The sequence below is a fragment of the Homo sapiens genome, chromosome 10 (genome assembly GCF_000001405.40).
Source record: "Homo sapiens chromosome 10, GRCh38.p14 Primary Assembly".
Lineage (NCBI taxonomy): Eukaryota > Metazoa > Chordata > Mammalia > Primates > Hominidae > Homo > Homo sapiens.
Window position 1 is genome coordinate 87,800,321 of NC_000010.11, and position 17,986 is coordinate 87,818,306.

The 17,986-nt window shown below is 35.9% G+C and overlaps 1 protein-coding gene and 1 long non-coding RNA gene across 19 annotated transcripts in view; one reads left to right on the forward strand and one right to left on the reverse strand.

The window, feature by feature from the left end:
* LOC124902476 (uncharacterized) overlaps nt 1-3,445 on the forward strand; it is a 36,088-nt gene extending 32,643 nt beyond the window's left edge. Inside the window, exon 3 of the long non-coding RNA XR_007062224.1 lies at nt 1,456-3,445. This is a non-coding gene — a long non-coding RNA (uncharacterized LOC124902476). The remainder of the gene's footprint in view (nt 1-1,455) is intronic.
* The window catches only part of ATAD1 (ATPase family AAA domain containing 1), an 89,850-nt gene that overhangs the window by 48,809 nt on the left and 23,055 nt on the right, over nt 1-17,986 (reverse strand). For 7 of the 18 annotated variants that reach the window (NR_135914.2, NM_001321968.2, NM_001321967.2 and 4 more), the window contains exons 1-2: nt 17,847-17,906; nt 14,118-14,292 (exon numbers count right to left, since the gene is read on the reverse strand). Coding sequence is in view for 15 of the 18 variants with exons in the window: in NM_001321968.2 (NP_001308897.1) it covers nt 14,118-14,279 (162 nt within the window). In the remaining 3 variants the exon portion in view is untranslated. Of the gene's footprint in view, nt 1-892; nt 898-14,117; nt 14,293-17,474; nt 17,907-17,986 lie in introns of those variants that run through there. The other 11 variants (XM_005270252.6, XM_047425908.1, XM_017016847.3 and 8 more) reach the window with 3 other exon arrangements.

Genomic DNA, 17,986 nt, shown 5'->3' on the forward strand with positions numbered 1-17,986 from the left:
TTTTTAGTTTTCTCTCTCCTTTTAAAGGGTGTGAAATTGTAACACTCTCTTTCAACTCATTTTCAGCTCATATTAAGTTTTTTTCCTCAAGTTCTGTTTGTTATGGCCTGATGCTAACAATGTTTTCATGAATATCCAAAGGAAATGTTTTCTTCCAACATAATATTCTGGCAGTGCAGGTCTTTTCTGTTGCCTTTTAGTAACTGGTCTAACATATTTTATGGTTTATTGAAACAATTCTATGCTATTATGATTCAGTTTGGTTTGCTTGGGGAAAAAAGCTGAAATTAAAAAAAAAAATTTTTAATTAAGGTTATTAACATTCATGTATCTTTCTATATGTTCAAAGTACCTGTGCCATTGAGTTACATGGCTTTGACTTCTGGGTCTAAAAAGGACACCAAGTCCTACTAAATCATAAACACTGACAGCAATTAAAGCCTCATCTTCAGGCTCCGTAGAAAATGCCAATCAAAATAAACTGCGTTTCTAAAACACAAGGCCAGAAATTAAAGGTATTCAACTCCTCAAGGCCCAGGGACTATCATAGAAGAGGCGGGCATGTGAAATTGGAAGGCCCAATTTTGAGAGAGAAAATAAGTTCAGCTTCTCTATAAATTAATCATTCATATCAAAGGCACACTAATGCAAAACCAACATATGGGCCCCTGTGTCAGATTAACAAGGTTTTGTTGAAGCATTAACTGACTCCTTAATAAAGGTTATAAATGCTGTGAAAGGCTTAAGGAAGTTATATCTTATGGTCAAGATTAAAATTTTGGAGACTGTTTATAAACTTTTAAAAATAAATTGAATTGGTTTCATGCTGTTTTTATTAGGCCTTATCGTTTGGAGAATTAAGTCTCCTCTCTCAAAGAATGAAGGTTTTCACCTTTTTCTGAGTTATCACTTTGGTGAAATGAATGACTTATTTTACAATGACCTGTAGTATGAAGTTTTTTAAACCTTTGATATTTGACAAACTTTCCAAAATCAAATGATAAATTATGTCTTTTTTTTGACCTAATTAATTCTTTAAGACATTAGGTTCCCTATAAAGTTCAAAAAATGACATAATTTGGCTTATTTAGTAAAAAAAATTACACAGGAAACATTGTCATATAAGAAATGGTGTTTGGTTTTCTTGGTCTGTATTTGTAGAGATGTTATTAGTATGTGTCCTAAAATTATGAGAAACTCCTATAATTCTGATATGACTTAATGTTATTAGTATGTGTCCTAAAATTATGAGAAACTCCTATAATTCTGATATGACTTAATGTACATTATCAATAATAATTATAATTATTGTGTGCCACAGAGATAATAAATTCCCTTGTCAACTATGTCTTTGACTATGGCTACCCTAAAACTTTTGTCATCCATGGACAATTGTTACCTTCTTTTGGTCCTCTTTAGAAGGTGGTTTTATAATCAGCTATAAAACTCTAACAGGTGCTCTTGAATGAATGTTTCTGATTGGAGATTGTGACATCAAAATAGAAGAAAAACTTTCAGGACTCACAGAGAGCTGGAACATCCATGAATATCAAACAGAACAGGAATTAACTGCATGGACTGAATTAACAGAAGACTGAAGTTATCTTTTTGACTTTTTGCTTAAAATGTTGCTGATCCTTTGTTTTGTTTTTTTCAAAGAAACTTTTCTTTTGCACTATTGACAGCTTCTAACAATTCAGTAGACTCCTATGAACAAAATTTGGAGCATATTTGTTTCTCTCTACCTGATTTCTCTAGAATTTGGAAACTATTTGTGAGTATTCTTAACTTATGGCAATACAGTTATTTGCGTAAGTGCAATAAGAATCTGTTTTCATTTGTAACAGGACACAATTGGAGAAACTAGTTATTTTACCAAGGCTTTGACTGGAATGGTGTGCTTTCCTTTAAGGAATCAAACTTGACTTACAGAGCCAATGAAAGCCCCTTGGGAAAACTGGCTTCACACCTTATCTACACAGTCCCTGTACAGGGTTTCTGACCTGTTGTTAAGTAAAGAATGTCACTTTCTGACAGGCCCAGGAGCCCCAAGTTTATCTTGGAATCAAGAGGAGAGGAATTCACCCAATTCACAGGTATTTGATGGTACAAATCCATGGCTGGGCTTGGCTTTAAAAAAGTCTTACCTGAGATTATTTCTATGGAACAAAGTTCTATCAAAGCCAATTTAAAAGCCTATGTAGGCAGGGCGCAGTGGCTCATGCCTGTAATCCCAGCACTTTGGGAGGCCAGGGCAGGCAGATCACCCCCGAGATCCCGCCACCGCACTCCAGCCTGGGTGACAGAGCAAGACTATGTCACGAAAAAAAAAAAAAGCCTATGTAACAAAATAATTATTCTTGCTGCACTATATACAAACAATCTGGCCAATTAGAAGAAAGCAAATCAGTCCTACCATAATTTGTCTTTAGTGAAAATGAGAAACTGGAGACAGAGAAATTATGTTTCAAAAACTATAGTATACCTATTGTTAGATTCTAGTCCTGCCTAATATTTTTCAATTTTTATTATTTTCTATAGTTTAGACAGAATTCAAACTTTTCTTGGCTACAAGTCTTCAAAATAATGTTTTCAATTTATTTCCCTTCTTTTTTCCCCCATTTTTCCTAATTTGGAGTCACTGAAAACTAAGCTGTGCTTTCTTAATGCCCTAAGAACTGAAGCTAGACACTTAAACTTCAGAAGAAAAGAACAGCAACTTAGTTACATACATAAGCCACTTTAATACCTGCCTACTGACATATGGACTTCAGGTAATGTGGCCTATATAAATTTTCCAGGATTTGTTTTTTGTTTTTTGTTGTTTTTCTCCCTTCCTCCCCGTTTTCTCTTCACAAGACATGAGACTTCACAACCAGCTAAAATTGAGCTTTCCTAATAACTCAGGACCTATCCGTCAAGGAATAAACCATCCTAGCCATGAGAGATCAGACGAAACTTGAGACCAGAGACTCATTTTCTTCTAAATATGCTTTCTCCAAAAGATTTTTAAAAAGGGAGGAAATATGAAAGGAAAATAAATCTTGGAGACCCCAAATCACTAAAGGGAAAAGTCAAGCTGGGAATTGCTTAGGGCAAATCTGCCTTCCATTCTATTCAAAGTCACCCCTCTGCTGAGATAAACGCGTATCTGCTTGCCTCTTTTGGAGAGGCTAATCAGAAACTCAAAAGAATGCAACCATTGGTCTCTTATCTACTTATGACCTGGAAGTCTCCTCCCTGCTTCAGGTTGCCTCACCTTTGCTTCCAGCTGGACCGAACCAATGTTCATTTTACATATGCTGACTGACGTCTCATGTATCCCTAAAATGTATAAAACCAAACTGCTCTGAACACCCTGGGCACATGTCATCAGGACCTCCTGAGGCTGTGTCATGGGTGCATGTTCTCAACCTTGGCAAAATAAACTTTGTAAATTAACTGAGACCTGTCTCAGATATTTGCGGTTCGCAGTACTATGGTGCTCTTCTACTATGCTTGTGTAGAAAACAATACTGCAGAGTTTTTTCTCCTCTGATTCCCAGCTCCTATTGCTTTTCTTTCCTCATCACTTGTATCTACTCCCTTACCTACCTAGGCAATACTAACTGCTTGTTCCTTACTGACTCCTATCTCAATTTTATTTACTTCAGCTTCTCAGTCTTATAAGACTCAGCTCCAGTAAACCTTGGGTTTAAAAGCCACTTGACTGGCAATGGAGTTCACAACAGCTTTCTGGGGTTAACAAATGTTAGCTCTTCCAAGTTGGCATTCTGTGATAGCTGCTCTTAAAATTCCTGGCAGTTGAGAGTTCCAAGTTTTTAAAGTTTTTTTCAGTACACTCCTTCACAGAAAACTTCAGCTCTTACTTCTCTCAAAATAACAGAAATAGTTTTCAAGTCTACAGTGTAATGATAGGACTAACAATAGGAAGACGTTAAGTTAAATAATTAATGTCATAGTAAGTCACTTTCTGTGTATAACTCGTGTATGAAATCTTTCCTGGCCCTTGATGACTACTAAACCACAATTTCAAGAAAATTATATAGTCTAATTATTATTATTTTGAGACAGGGTCTTACTCTGTCACCCAGGCTGGAATGCAATGGTGAGATCTCGGCTCACTGCAACCTTCGCCACTAGGGTTCAAGCGATTCTCCTGCCTTAGCCTCCCAAGTAGATGGGACTACAGGCACCCATTACCATGTCCACCTAATTTTTGTATTTTTAGTAGAGACGGGGTTTTGCCATGTTGACCAGGCTGGTCTTGACCTCCTGACCTCAGGTGATCCACCTGCCTCAGCTTCCCAAAGTGCTGGGATTACAGGTATGAGCCACCATGCCCAGCCTATGTAGTCTAATTAATATGCTAAACAAAATACTGTATTTATAAATTCCCAAGACAGTTAACACATATTCATCCTGCACTTTAAATCTATTAAACTACACATCTCAACTAACTTAACCCACCCTTTCATCAAAAACATAGCTTATCAAAACTCTTCTACTACATCTAAATATGATCCAAGCAGCAGTATGTGCCCAGAAAAATCCCAGTCCCTGTACAACACCATGTTGAAACCATCTCCTCTCTCATTACCAATTAAATCTCCTGCCTTTCACAAACTGAAGGTTTTCCTGGCTTCAAGTCTAGAAATTTACAAATACATTGTTTAATCCAACATAACGGTATACTTCCAGGATACTGTTTCTGATTTGATGCAACTATGTCATCTTCTACCTCTCATCTCAAAACCGTATTGCCTTTAAAATCACATGGGGCCCACTGATTATCTGGTATACTCAAAGTGTTCTACATCTAAGCTTTTAGATTCAATCCTCTTTCATTCTGACCACAAAAGTCACACCTTCCTCCTCCCACATTCACACCTGATCCTTGCCTTTAATGTGTATTCTAATTCCTTAATTCTTTTCTATTCTCCAACTAAATTATCTCCCATCTGGTAATACTTAACTTTCTAAATGGCCTGAATCACACAGTCATTACTTTAATGATGTGCTCCTGAGAAATCCTTACACTTCTTGTTATACCAGTCAGCTCCATCCCCAATGCCAATTTAACACTACCATTCACTCTATCTGCCACCAAGTTGCTGAGTAATGCTTGAGAATAGTAACAAAACAATTGAGTTCCCAATAAATGCATGCTTTCTTCAAACATGCCCTAATATTTCAAAATCCACAATGATTTAATCTCATTAAATACTGATCACATATTTACCTAAATAGGCCCCCAACCTCCTCCACTCACTCACTTTTAGTCACAATCTCTCCCCTTCATGCTACTAAACATAAAACAACTCTACCCTAAAAATGTTCCCATAACTACTGACCCCAACCCCTCCTGATTCTTCTGGGACCTTCCTCCATCTATTAAATATCCTTTTAGGCAGCCCCTCTCTACCTCCTCCTCCTCCACTAACCTTCTCCCTTTTTTTTTTCTTTTCCCCCAACTCTAGAATGACCATGTTCTTTTACCTCAAATTATACTTGCTGCCTCCACCAAATGGAAATTACTCTCTCCAAGCTTAATTTCACTAAATTTACTGATCACTTTCTTAGATCATATTCCTCATGACCTCTTCTTCTCCTTGACCATTCTATAACACGTTTAAAATCAATTCTCTTTTGCAACCTTCTCCTTCTTTGGCTATGGTGACTTTATGCAAGTGATTCCCCAGACAGTGGGAAAGAAGTGAGAAGAGGGATAACCAAATAATCTCTGAGGTTTTAAAAAATTATATTTGCCACCCCACAAACTTCCCCAAATTCTGATTATTTCTTTGCAGAACATAGTGTTTCAGTTGACAATCACTGCCACAGTGAACCACTATGACTGTCTGCAGTACTCTGTGTACTTCAGATGTATTCATGTAGAAAAGACTATCACCAGTACCCTAAACATCATCTTGGTTTTATTCTCACTCCTCTGGTCATTTTTTTTTTTAAGTTCTTACAGTGCTTTTACTAATAACTAGGTAGATAAAATAATATCTTAGACTGTTTAGATGAGGTATAAAGAAACACAATATAATCAATACCAATCCAGGTTTAAGAACAAGAACATTATTATTATCTTTCAAGTCCTTCGGTGAGGCCCTCTCCAAATACAGATCTTCTCGTCTCCCAGAAAAAAAAATCACAATCCTAAATTGAAATCATCTCTTGCTTTTCTTTAACTTAACCATATGTTTGATTCCCTAAGGTTTAGTTTTACATGTTTCAGAATGTCTACATGGGATCACACTATATGTACTCTTCTGTGACATTTTCATCTCACTATTTCTTAGAGTTGTTGAGCATCTGTATTTCATTCACTTTTCTCCGCGAATATTATGCTCTGGCATGTGCAGACCAAAGTATGCCACTCTGGCATAATAATTATTTTGAGTTGAGGGAAATTTAGAAAAAAACAGATACAAGAAAAGCTATCTGCCCTACTCCTACTTGCCTAAAAACAATAAATTCACAAAGGTCTCCCTCCTCTTCTCTTTACGAGGAAGGACGAAAGTTAATCAAAGGAGACAACTTTAGACACTTAGCCAGAGGAATCTGCATAACAAACTTTACCAACTAGTCTTCATCTACCATTAGTTTCCCACAGTTTGCTGCCCCTAGAGACTCCTTTTCTTTTGTCTGATCGCTTCTTTAAAAATTTGTTTCTTTGCCAAGATACTATATACACTCAAGTTCTAACCAAACTTTTGAGTTACTCATCTCTGGTACTCCTATTGGTTGCATGCTTGATACATGTTAATAAACTTGTTTGTTTTTCTCTTGTTTATCTATCTTTTGTTATAGAGGCCCAAATGAGAATTCAGAACGGTAGAAGGAAAAGTGTTTTTCCTCTCCTATATGTGCATATACCAACATTTATACAAATATTCAGATTGGTTCCTGCTTTTTTCCATTACAAGCAGGGCTGCTATGAGCACTCTTGTATGTATCTCCTGGTTCTTCGCTATATGCCCAGAATGAAACTTGTGGATCACTGACTATGCACATTTTCAACTTTACTAGATAATGCCAAACTATCTTCCAAAATAGTTATACTAATTTATATTCCCAACAGCAATACTTTTGTTCCTACTGTTCCACATTCTCTCCAGCACGTTATTGACAGACTTAAAACTTTACAACCTGGCAGGGGTGAAAAGGTATATCAATTTGACTTTAATTTGCATTTCCTTGATTTCTAATCAGTTTGTGCATCTTTTCATATGTTTATTGACCACTGGAGATTTTTCTTTTTTAATGTGTCTATTTAAGTTTCTTTGCCCATTTTTCTATTATTTTTTCTTACTGATTCAGATGCATTCTATATATGTCCTCAGTACAAATCTTTTAAGTTATAAAAATAATAGGAAACACTTATGCAGCACTGTTATATTTTACATTATATATTTAATTTCAATAGCAACCCAACAAGGTAAGTGCTATTATTATTTCTTTTACAGATAAGAAAACTCAAGACCCAAAGTAGTTAAATAAAACTTTGTGTTTTAGGATTGCCTTCCCTATTTATAGACTTTTGTTCTTCCACATGAATTTCAGGAAAAAATACAACAAAACGAAAATCTGCCAGTATTTTTGTACTGATGTTGAATTTAACTAAACTTTCAATAGTTTTATAATTTTCTCTATGAATGTGTTGTATGTCTTATGTTTGTCCGTTGTTTTATATTTTTGATGCTACTATATAATGCTTTTTTTAAATGACATTTTAAAACATGATGGGTATACAGAAACAGCTGATTTTCGTATACTGATTTTAAATCCAGCAAACCCATCAAACTCTCATGAATCCTGATAGCTTGTAAACATTCTTTGGCTTTCTATGTAGATTATCATATTATCCATTAATAATGACTATTTAGTTTCTTCTTTTCCAATCCCCACCTTTTTGACTTAGGCAGTGGCTAGTAACTCAGTAAAATGTTAAACAGAAGTAAAAGTAAACAAAGAAGTAAACAAAGTAAACAAAGAAAAGCCAAAAAAAAAAAAAAAGTAATGAAAAGTAATGAAAGACAACAGGCTTGCTCCTAATCATAAAGAGAATGTTTCCAATTCTTCACTATAAAATACATTTGTTTTAGTAAATGCATTTTATCAAGTTAAAGATCGCCTGAAGCCGGGAGGCAGAGGTTGCAGTGAGCCAAAATCATGCCACTGCACTCCAGCCTGGGCAACAGAGCAAGGCTCCGTCTAAAAGAAAACACAAAAAACAAAACAAAACAAAAAGAACACTATCTTCTGTTCCCATTTTATTAAAAGCTTTTCTAAAACCATGAATGAATGCTTAAGGCCTTTTCTGCATTTATTGGGAGAATCATACAGGTTTTATTCTTTAATCTGTTAATGTTGCATATTATATTGATTTCCCATCCCTTAAATGAAGCCAGGCTTAAACTCCTGGGATAAATCCAACTGGTCGCATTATATTTTTTCTATATTGCTGAATTTAACTTGCTGACATTTAAGATTCTTATACCAATTTAGAAGGGAGAGAGAGAAATTACAGACTACTATAGGTTTTAGAACTGTAGTTATGCTAGCCTCACAAAAAGGTTTGGAAGTGTTCCCTCGTTTCCTATATTCTAGAAGAATTTGCATAAATTGGTTATTATTAATTTGTTCCTTAAATACTGGCAGAATTTGCTATAAAGTTCTATGGGCCTGAAGTTTTCTTTATAAAAAGATATTTTCACTATTAACTTATTTCATAGTTATGGAACTAACCATGTATTCTATTTCTTCTTAAGTCAGTTTTAGAAATGCATATTTTTCTAAGGGTTTACCCATACCTAAGTTCTCAAATTTATCGACGTAACAGTTGACCCTTACACAATACAGGGATTGGGATACTGACCCCAACACACTCAAAAATCCATAGAGAACTTTTGACTCCCCTCAAACTGAACTACTAAAATAGCCTACTGTTGACCTTATCACTAACAGAAACAGTTAATAACATAGTTTGTATACTGTATTCTTGCAATAAAGTAACCTAGAGAAAGCATGTTATTTAAAAAATCATAAAGGGAAATATATTAACTTCATCCTCATCATCTTCATGTTGAGTAGCGTGAGGAAGAGAGGTTGGTCTTTCTGTCTCAGGTTGGCAGAGGTAAAAGAGGTGAAGGTGGAAGGAGTGGCAGGAGAGACGGGCACACTCAATTGAACTTTCATTAAAAAAAAAAAAATCTGCTTATGAGTGGACCTATGCAGTTTAAACACGTTGTTTGTTGTTCAAGGGCCCACTATAGTTATGAACAGTCCTAATTTTTTTTATTTATTAATTTTATTTATTTATTTATTTATTTATTTATTTTGAGATGGAGTTTCTCTCTTGTTGCCCAGGCTGGAGTGCAATGGCGCAATCTCGGCTCATTGTAACCCCCGCCTCCTGGATTCAAGCGATTCTCCTCCTGAGTATCTGCGACTACAGGAACATGCCACCACGCCCGGCTAATTTTGTATTTTTAGTAGAGACAGGGTTTCACAATGTTGGCCAGGCTGGTCTCAAACTCCTGACCTCAGGTGATCTACCTGCCTCAGACTCTCAAAGTGCTAGGATTACAGGTGTAAGCCACCGTGCCCGGCCCTTGTTTTTAATATCTACAGCAATATTAGGCCTTTTTTGTTCCAGGTAGTATTTTATTGGTAACTTTTTTCTTGTCGGTTTGAAAAGTCTTGATTTTATGTCTTTTCAAAAAAACAATTTTGGGTTTTATTGATTTTTCTCTACTGTATATTCACTTTCTATTTCATTAACTTATGTTATTATTTCCATTCATTTCATTATTATGTGCTTTCTTTTACCCAGGAGTCATTTTAAAATATTTCATACTTTCCAAACTTATTTTTCTAATGATCTCTACTGTACTGCACTATAGCCAGGAAATGTTAATAAATACGCTACCAATATTATGAAACTTGAGATTTGCTTTATTATCTAGTATTCGGTTTATTTTCACAAATCATATGTGCTTCAGATATGTATTTTGCATTTATTTTGGCACAATATACTATACATGTCCATTTTTTATTTAAATCTTCTATATCCTTAATTTTTAAAAAATCTGAACAATTATTAGGTGTTAAAAGTCTCTCACCATGTTGATGGAGATGTCCATTTTTCCCTGTAGTTATATCATATTTTTGCTTTATGTATTTTCAGGCTACATCAATAGTTACACACAAATAGAAATGTTATATTTATTGGTGAATTGAATCTTTCATCATTTATGTAGCAAACATTTTCTCCAATATCTTTGCCTTACAATTTCTTTTTGCCCAGCCAGTTTTCTTCTTATATTTGTGTGGTATATACATTTCCATCTTTTTACTTTCAACCTTTCTGAATCTATATTTTAGATGTGTTACTTCACCCAGCATATGGCTTAAATTTCTCTCTTTAAACTATTCATCTTTAAAACACTGTGTCTTTATCTTTAGTTGAAATACTACAGATAGCCTTTTGGGGTTCTAGATTTATAGGAGTATCATCTATGAAACTACCTACTTTAGATTGGCCCTATGTTTTGTATACTGAGCCCCTCTGAAATCATAAAAACAGAATTCAGCAAATTCTCTCAAGGTAAAGGCTGGCAATCAAGCTCACCTTAGCTTTCTGAAATTTTTGCCTTAAGTTTTTAACCTGCATTCTTTACTTTGTTGATAGCTCATGAATGCCTTTAAGATTTTTAGGCCAGACACAGTGGCCCACACCTGTAATCTCAGCACTTTGGGAGGCCAAAGCGGGCAGATCACTTGAGGTCAGGAGTTCAAGACCAGCCTGGTCAACATGGTGAAACCCCGTCTCTACTAAAACTACAAAAATTAGCCACGTGTGGTTGCACACTTCTGTAATCCCAGCTACTCCGGAGGCTGAGGCAGGAGAATCACTTGAACCCGGAAGAAGCAGGGTACAGCGAGCTGAGATTGTACCACTGCACTCCAGCCTGTGCAACACAGCAAGACTCCAACTCAAAAATAAATAAATAAATAAATAAATAAAACAAGATTTTTAAAAAATTATCAAGCTTCTTTAGCTGTTTTCAGCAGGAGTCAGTCTTGTTACCCATACTGACCTATTCATTCTTCACTGGCTGCACATCATCTTTCTATACCCTAAATAAAGGAAATGTATCAAGGCTTACGCTTCAGCTTACCAATTATGCTGCATTACACCACCTCTTTTGGAGACTTCATCACTCTTAGTATAGTCATTACCATTTATTACAGTGACAATTACATTAGAATTTCTCAACAAATATATGTATAAATCTTGATGGTGGTGAGGGGAGATGGGGAATAATTTGGGAAAAGTTCTACAAATGATATCTACACATACAGGAATAACCATATGGCCTACTCACTGTTCTAACGACTTCAACTACTTATAACCATCGATAAGGAAATATACCTCTGGATTGACCTTTTTTCTGAGATTCAGACCTGCAACTTCAATTGCTATATGAACATTTCCTCCTGAATTCCTACCACCAACACAAACCCAACATGGCCAGATCAAATGTCATCTTCTCATAAATTTGCCCTACCTACCAGTTTCCAAACCTCTATAAAAGATATTATAAGTCTTTGAGGTATCCAGACAAATCTTTGGTTCGTTTTTAAGATTTTAAGATGTCCTTTTTCTTTTCCCACATCATCACAAAGTCCTTCCTGCATTCATTTGTGTTAGTCTATTTCACTCAAGTCATTCCTTTTGTCACCCTCTTATTCTAAGTCTTTGCCAGGACTGTTGCAGTCTATCACCAACAGATCTTGCTTCTAGTACCTCTTGACTCCTATTCCTTCTGCATACTACTATAAGGTGAATTATCCTTAAAACATTGTATATCACCCACCCATTCAAATATATTTAATGAGTTAAGCCTACAGAAGTCTTCAATTGGTCAACAGCATATTTATTTATTTATTTATTTTTGAGATGGAGTCTCTCTCTGTTGCCCAGGCTGGAGTGCAGGGGTGTGATCTTGGCTCACTGCAACCTCTGCCTCCCGGGTTCAAGCAATTCTCAACCTCCCGAGTAGCTGGGTGTGCACCACTACGTCCGGCTAATGTTTTGTATTTTTATTAGAGATGGGGTTTCACCATGTTGGCCAGGCTGATCTCCAACTCCTGACCTCAAGTGATCTGCCTGTCTCGGCCTCCCAAAGTGCTGGGATTATAGGCGTGAGCCACCACATGGCCAGTCAACAGCATGTTTAACAGCTGGTCAGAGATGTAGGGAAGAGAAGAGGAGGGGTAACCAAGAAGCTATAGCCGTTGGCCAAGCAAATCCCATTTCATCCTGAGTGTTTTAAACACTGGTAAATTACTGTGGAATGGGATAATGCTAGAAGCAAAAAGTATCCCTCCTTTTCAGTTGATGATGGATTCTAAAATGCTGTGTATTTTTTATCAGCCTCAGTCCACCCAACAAAACAAAAAGGACCAAAGAAGGAAAAAGTAATGCATTCTATTTAAAACTGTCCTTGCCTACCCTAGAGGCCAAGCTCTTTCATGAAGCCATCTTCAACTACCACAATCACTGGTGACTACTATTTTCTCTAAGAGCCACAGTTTCTGTCTACACTACTCAATAAGCAACTGGGATATGCTACTTACTATTATAATTTATATTATCATGAACAAGTCTTTTCTCCCTATCATGGGCACTATGAAGGACATAATATCTAATGTTTCATATACCTAATATTTAGAATAATACTATACACATAATTTTCAATGAAGGCTTGTAGTACTTAGCATCTATATTTAGCTTTCTGTATGTCTTCTATATGTGTATTCAGGAGTTCTTAGAAGCCAAGGGGAAAAAAAGACAAAATTATCTTTAAAAGTCACACCTCTGCTTTTTAAAATGCTGAAACGATGTAACTTATAATATTTTGACATCATACTTAAACTGACTTTCATGATTCAGGTGGGAGAAAAAAACCCAACACTTAGGTTGACATATGGATATACTCAAACTAGTTTTTCTTTTTTTTTTTTTTTAAATCTACCCTGGTCAGACTTCCCAGAGACTTACAAATAGGCTGATAATATCATCTAGAACTTCAGTCAACTATTTTATAATAAAATTCAAGGAAAAAGTTCAGAATTCTCCAAAGTGCCTTTCAGATATATACTTATTGCAGTGTTTATAAAATTGTGGTTTTCACTTTTTACTGATTTAAGGGCTAACATTGTAAAACAGTCATTTATTTACATCCCTATTTCCCACAATAGCCTATAGCATTTTGAAAGAACAAGATTTATTCATCTTTTTTCTTTGGTACCAAGTAGTTGATAGGGACTCAATAAATGTTTATTGAATAAATCTGTCACAACTCACAAGACAGATCTAAAAATCCATGAATATCCTATTTAATTATTTTAAGATAAATTATGTTATTATACCATAAGATATTCAATAAGACATAAATATTTTAGTTATTAATTATTGTTTAAAAAAAAAGAGCCAGAAGGGAAAAGCCACCTAACAGCACAAAAAATCTGTAAGACTCCTTTAAGGTTTTTATGTTTTGATGACAAACAGAAACCAATCACCTTTAAAAGGAAATGAACACAAGAGGCAGCAGATAAAAAGTTAAAAACTACAGCTTATATTAATAATCAACAACTTTTACAGCAATTCATTAATTAGATTTTAGTGTAGCTTATAAGTTTAAGACTGAGAGCGTTTCAGTATTATCCACATTTCAGATGTCATACACAGCAAAAGGCATATCATTACTGAAGATAAATATTTTGGGTTAGCCTAAAAACTTTTATCTAGATCCTACCTCCAAAGCTGACAAAAATATTCTAATGAAGATGTTCACAATATTTTATTGTTTATTCATTTTTCTTCTGATAAGTTGTTTATATAGTAAAAAATGACTTGAAATAATGTCATAATAAACTAGTACTTTGTAAGAGTAATAAAACTATGAGTACCAATACATTTTCATGTGGGTCTTATAGAATTTCTCATTAATTTGTGAACTCTACCAAATTTTTAGTTTGAGGGGAAAATACTTGTTAGCCACAAGAAAAATGATCTTCAAACATTTCAATCATACCTGTTTCTGAGCTTCTACTTTTTGCTTTCTGGTTGGATCAATTGCATCTACCATCCATTTGATAGTAAAGTATGTCACTGCACCAAATATTGTCAAACGGAAAATTAAACCAACAACTTCATTCCGACTCAAAGGACGAGAAAAGGCTTCAGCATGTACCATCTTGAATGTTAACCTTAAAAAAACAAACAGAAATGTCACTAGGTAATAACTATACTTATTAAAATTGTAAGACTAACAAAGTAGCTTAAACTAAGAAAGAAAAACTAACTTCTAGTCAAATTAAAATATTACCTACCTTAAAAAAAGTGTTTCATTTTAAGGAGAAATGGATTTTTAAATGTTAAGTAAACAAATACATTTAAAGCTCCTCTTGCAAACTAGAAGTAGACTAGAAATTAAGATTTATTTGGTAGTAGAATTAATCATTTTATTTGAAAAATACAGTAAATATCTTAAGGTATTTACTCAAAACAGCTTTAAAGAACTATTTCAGAGTCTAGGAAAGTATCAACTATAACACTAATCCAACTGAAGAAAGGCAGCCCAACAATACTAATGTGACGGTAAGAATTTCTTCTATTAACTGTATCATATACCAGGTAATTTTTGAGTGAAATTCAAATTGTGAACTGACTCACTTTTTCCTCATACATACTTTTAAAGGTTTTCAAGGCCTGCTTAAATTTAAACATGCCATTTCCTCAGTAATAAGTGGTATTAACTTTTTTGAGCCACACTATTGTTCCCAACAACCGGGCTAAGTAGGAAGCAATAGAACTTGGAAAAATCTTGAACTGAGACAACTACTACAAGAATACAGCACTCACCCAAGCTAAAGAGAAAAAAAATGAGATAAATGTGCCTATTTTTGCATATATCCCTGAACAGCTACATCAATCAAAGCTAGGCTTACAGAAGACATACACTCCTCTGTCAATGGCAATAACTACCCGGAAGAATAAGCTTGTTAGGGATGATATGACTATCACATTTTGGGAGATAGGATCTTAGCTTCAAATACTGCCATTATACTCTCAGCACAGGAGTGTGCTGAATGCTATGGGATATATAAGAAAAAGAGAATATATATTTGTACTTACATAAACATGAAAAAAAACAGAATTTGTATGGCTCAGCAGATAAAAGTTAGGTACTGCAAAGATTAATATCCATGGTCCTTCCAGCTCTAAAATTCTCCTCTCACTACTACTAAATTAAAGAGCCTCTTCACCTTCCTCCCTCTAGAATAGCTCCAAAAATTTTTTATTTCCTTTTATACCCCTCACCTCCACTCAAGGATATATACTCCTTCTCTCTAATCAAAAGACCCCAAAGTATTTCCTTTATACGTTTCCCAAGCATTCAAAACTATTCTAATCTAGAATCTAGCTCCAGAGTCAATTGTAAGCATTTTCTCTTTCACCTCTTTTCAAAGGGACTCTATAAATAGCTGGAGTCACTACCATCTGAAAATCCCACATATATTTTCCCTTCAGCGTATCTGTCTAGTATCCTGCATGGGCCATTTACCCTCATTCACCTAGGATTAGTCAAATTCTATCCTAACTTCAAAAATCAACTTTATTTGCTCCATAAAGCCTTTCAAATCACATGAATCTTCGTATTATTCATTTCGCCCTATTACACTATCTTAAAAAAGTCTTGCTTTTGAGATATCTACTCGACTAGAGTTTAAATCCTTATAAACAAGATGTATATCTTATCTACCTTTATAACTGTCACACACAAAACAGACGTTTATAATTGCCACACACAAAACAGAGGCTATTCAAAAATTATGTTCAACAGATAAATTGTAACTGAAGGAAATCTCCCATTCAATCATTGCAACAGTCACTTCTGAAGGATTTCCAAAAGGTTCCACATTTCTCCACTAGGAGCCATTCACTTCACAATAATTAGATTTAATTTAAACTTAACAACTAAATAATTGAAAGCCTTCATTTTGGAGGAAGAAACTTTGGCCTAGGGATGGTAAATGATTTAATTCATTCAATTTGCATTTACTGAACATCTATATATGACGCCCACTATATATTGGATATACAATAATTGTTAAGATATCACCACTTCATTCAAAGAACACACTGTCCGGCTATTATATTAATTATAAAGAAAGCAAAAGAAGCCAAAAAGGAGAAGGCACCTAACTGAAATCTCTCTTCATGGAACAAACCAAAGTGTGCTATCTTCCATCAGCATGGATTCCAAAAAAAACGGGTTACACAATATTTCACTTCTCATAGGAAGTAAAAAACTGACTTTTCTAGTCTTTATTCCACAAAGTTGAAAATGCAGTTGAAACGTGTTATATCACTACGTGGGGTATACTCACAGAGGAAAATAATTTAGACAAGATAAGGGTTTTATTAACCTAATCTGTGAAAAGCGGTGGCATTCCAGTAAAACGTTTTCGTTTTAGAGTTGGTAGTGATAAAACTACCAACCAAGTCATCTACTGGATATTCATTGAACTACATGAACAAATTAGGGCTGTTATGAACACATCCCAGTCATCAAGATAGTAACAACTTTTAATCCCATAAAAGGTCAACACACAAAACCCGTTTATATCCTTCCCAATTCTGAAATTTTTAATGTAATAAAGACTTAGGTCTACTAAGGCCACTTGTAAAATAGTAGTCTACCTTTTTAAATTACTTCAAAATCCTTCAATGAAACTGAAACTTGTTTTGTAGACTGTAACTATATATACTTTATTGTACACTCATGTATCATTCATTTGGTATTGATATACCTAAAATGTAAGGCTGTTACAGCAGCAATACCATCACCAGCGAACATACAATAAAAGCTGCATGCGCATACAACAGCAGGGAGCGTATTTCAATCCTGTATAAACATTAGGTTCAACAAAATGAATACACAAATATGTACATATACGATGATAGTGCTGTATGCAACTAAGAAACATCCTAAAACACTATAACCTAGAGTTATTTGTTAGGCAAATATGGTATCAGGTCGTTTCATTTTAAGTTCTCCATTTCCGAGTGGAAAACCGTGAAATCGTACTACCTCATCTATGAGCAATTTATTGACATGTATAGCATTCATAGCATAGCATTCACTGTAGTATTTCTCTCCTAATTCATTGCAGTATTTCACAAATCGTTTCTCAAACTCAAAAGTCCCAGTTTTGCAGGCATAAAGGCCCTACGAATACAGCCTATGACAATGAAGGCCTGCCAATCTTCACAAAGAGGGCAGGTTATTATTAACATCACCATCTTTTGTGAAAGCGTGCCCGGCCCTGAAGAACCACCTTCGATTTTGCACAAGGTGGTGGCCGCGCCTGTGCGACAATCAGACCTGGTTCATTCCAGCCGCCTTCGTCTAGGTTCGCCTGGTTCTGAAGTCTTCCGGGACGACCTCAAACCCCCACAGTGACCAGGATGCCGACAAAGATTCCCTCGGGAATGGCACGAGTCTTGGGGAAGAGCTAAGCAGACCCTAAGGGCCCAGGCCGGGCCGGACGCCAAGGCGAGGCCCGGGACGCCCTTGGAGGTTAATCCTCTAGATACTAAGGGCTGCGGGGCGCTTGGGGGCGGCACTGAGGTAGGGCGTGGGAGAAGACCGGGGTGACCTTTCCTCCGGGGGTTCCCAGGTCCGAGACGGTCCTTAAAGGACCTCAGAAGGATACGACAACCATCCCATGAGGCCCCACGGGAACCAGCTACTCACCCAGGGGCAGAAACAGCAAGAGCAAGTGCCCTCAGCCGGCCTCACACAGGAAGGAAACGCAACCTGGGAGAGAACGCTTCCGGCGGGAGGCGCGGCGCACTCCCTCCCACGGAGCATGCGCGACCCGCGGTCGCCGGCGC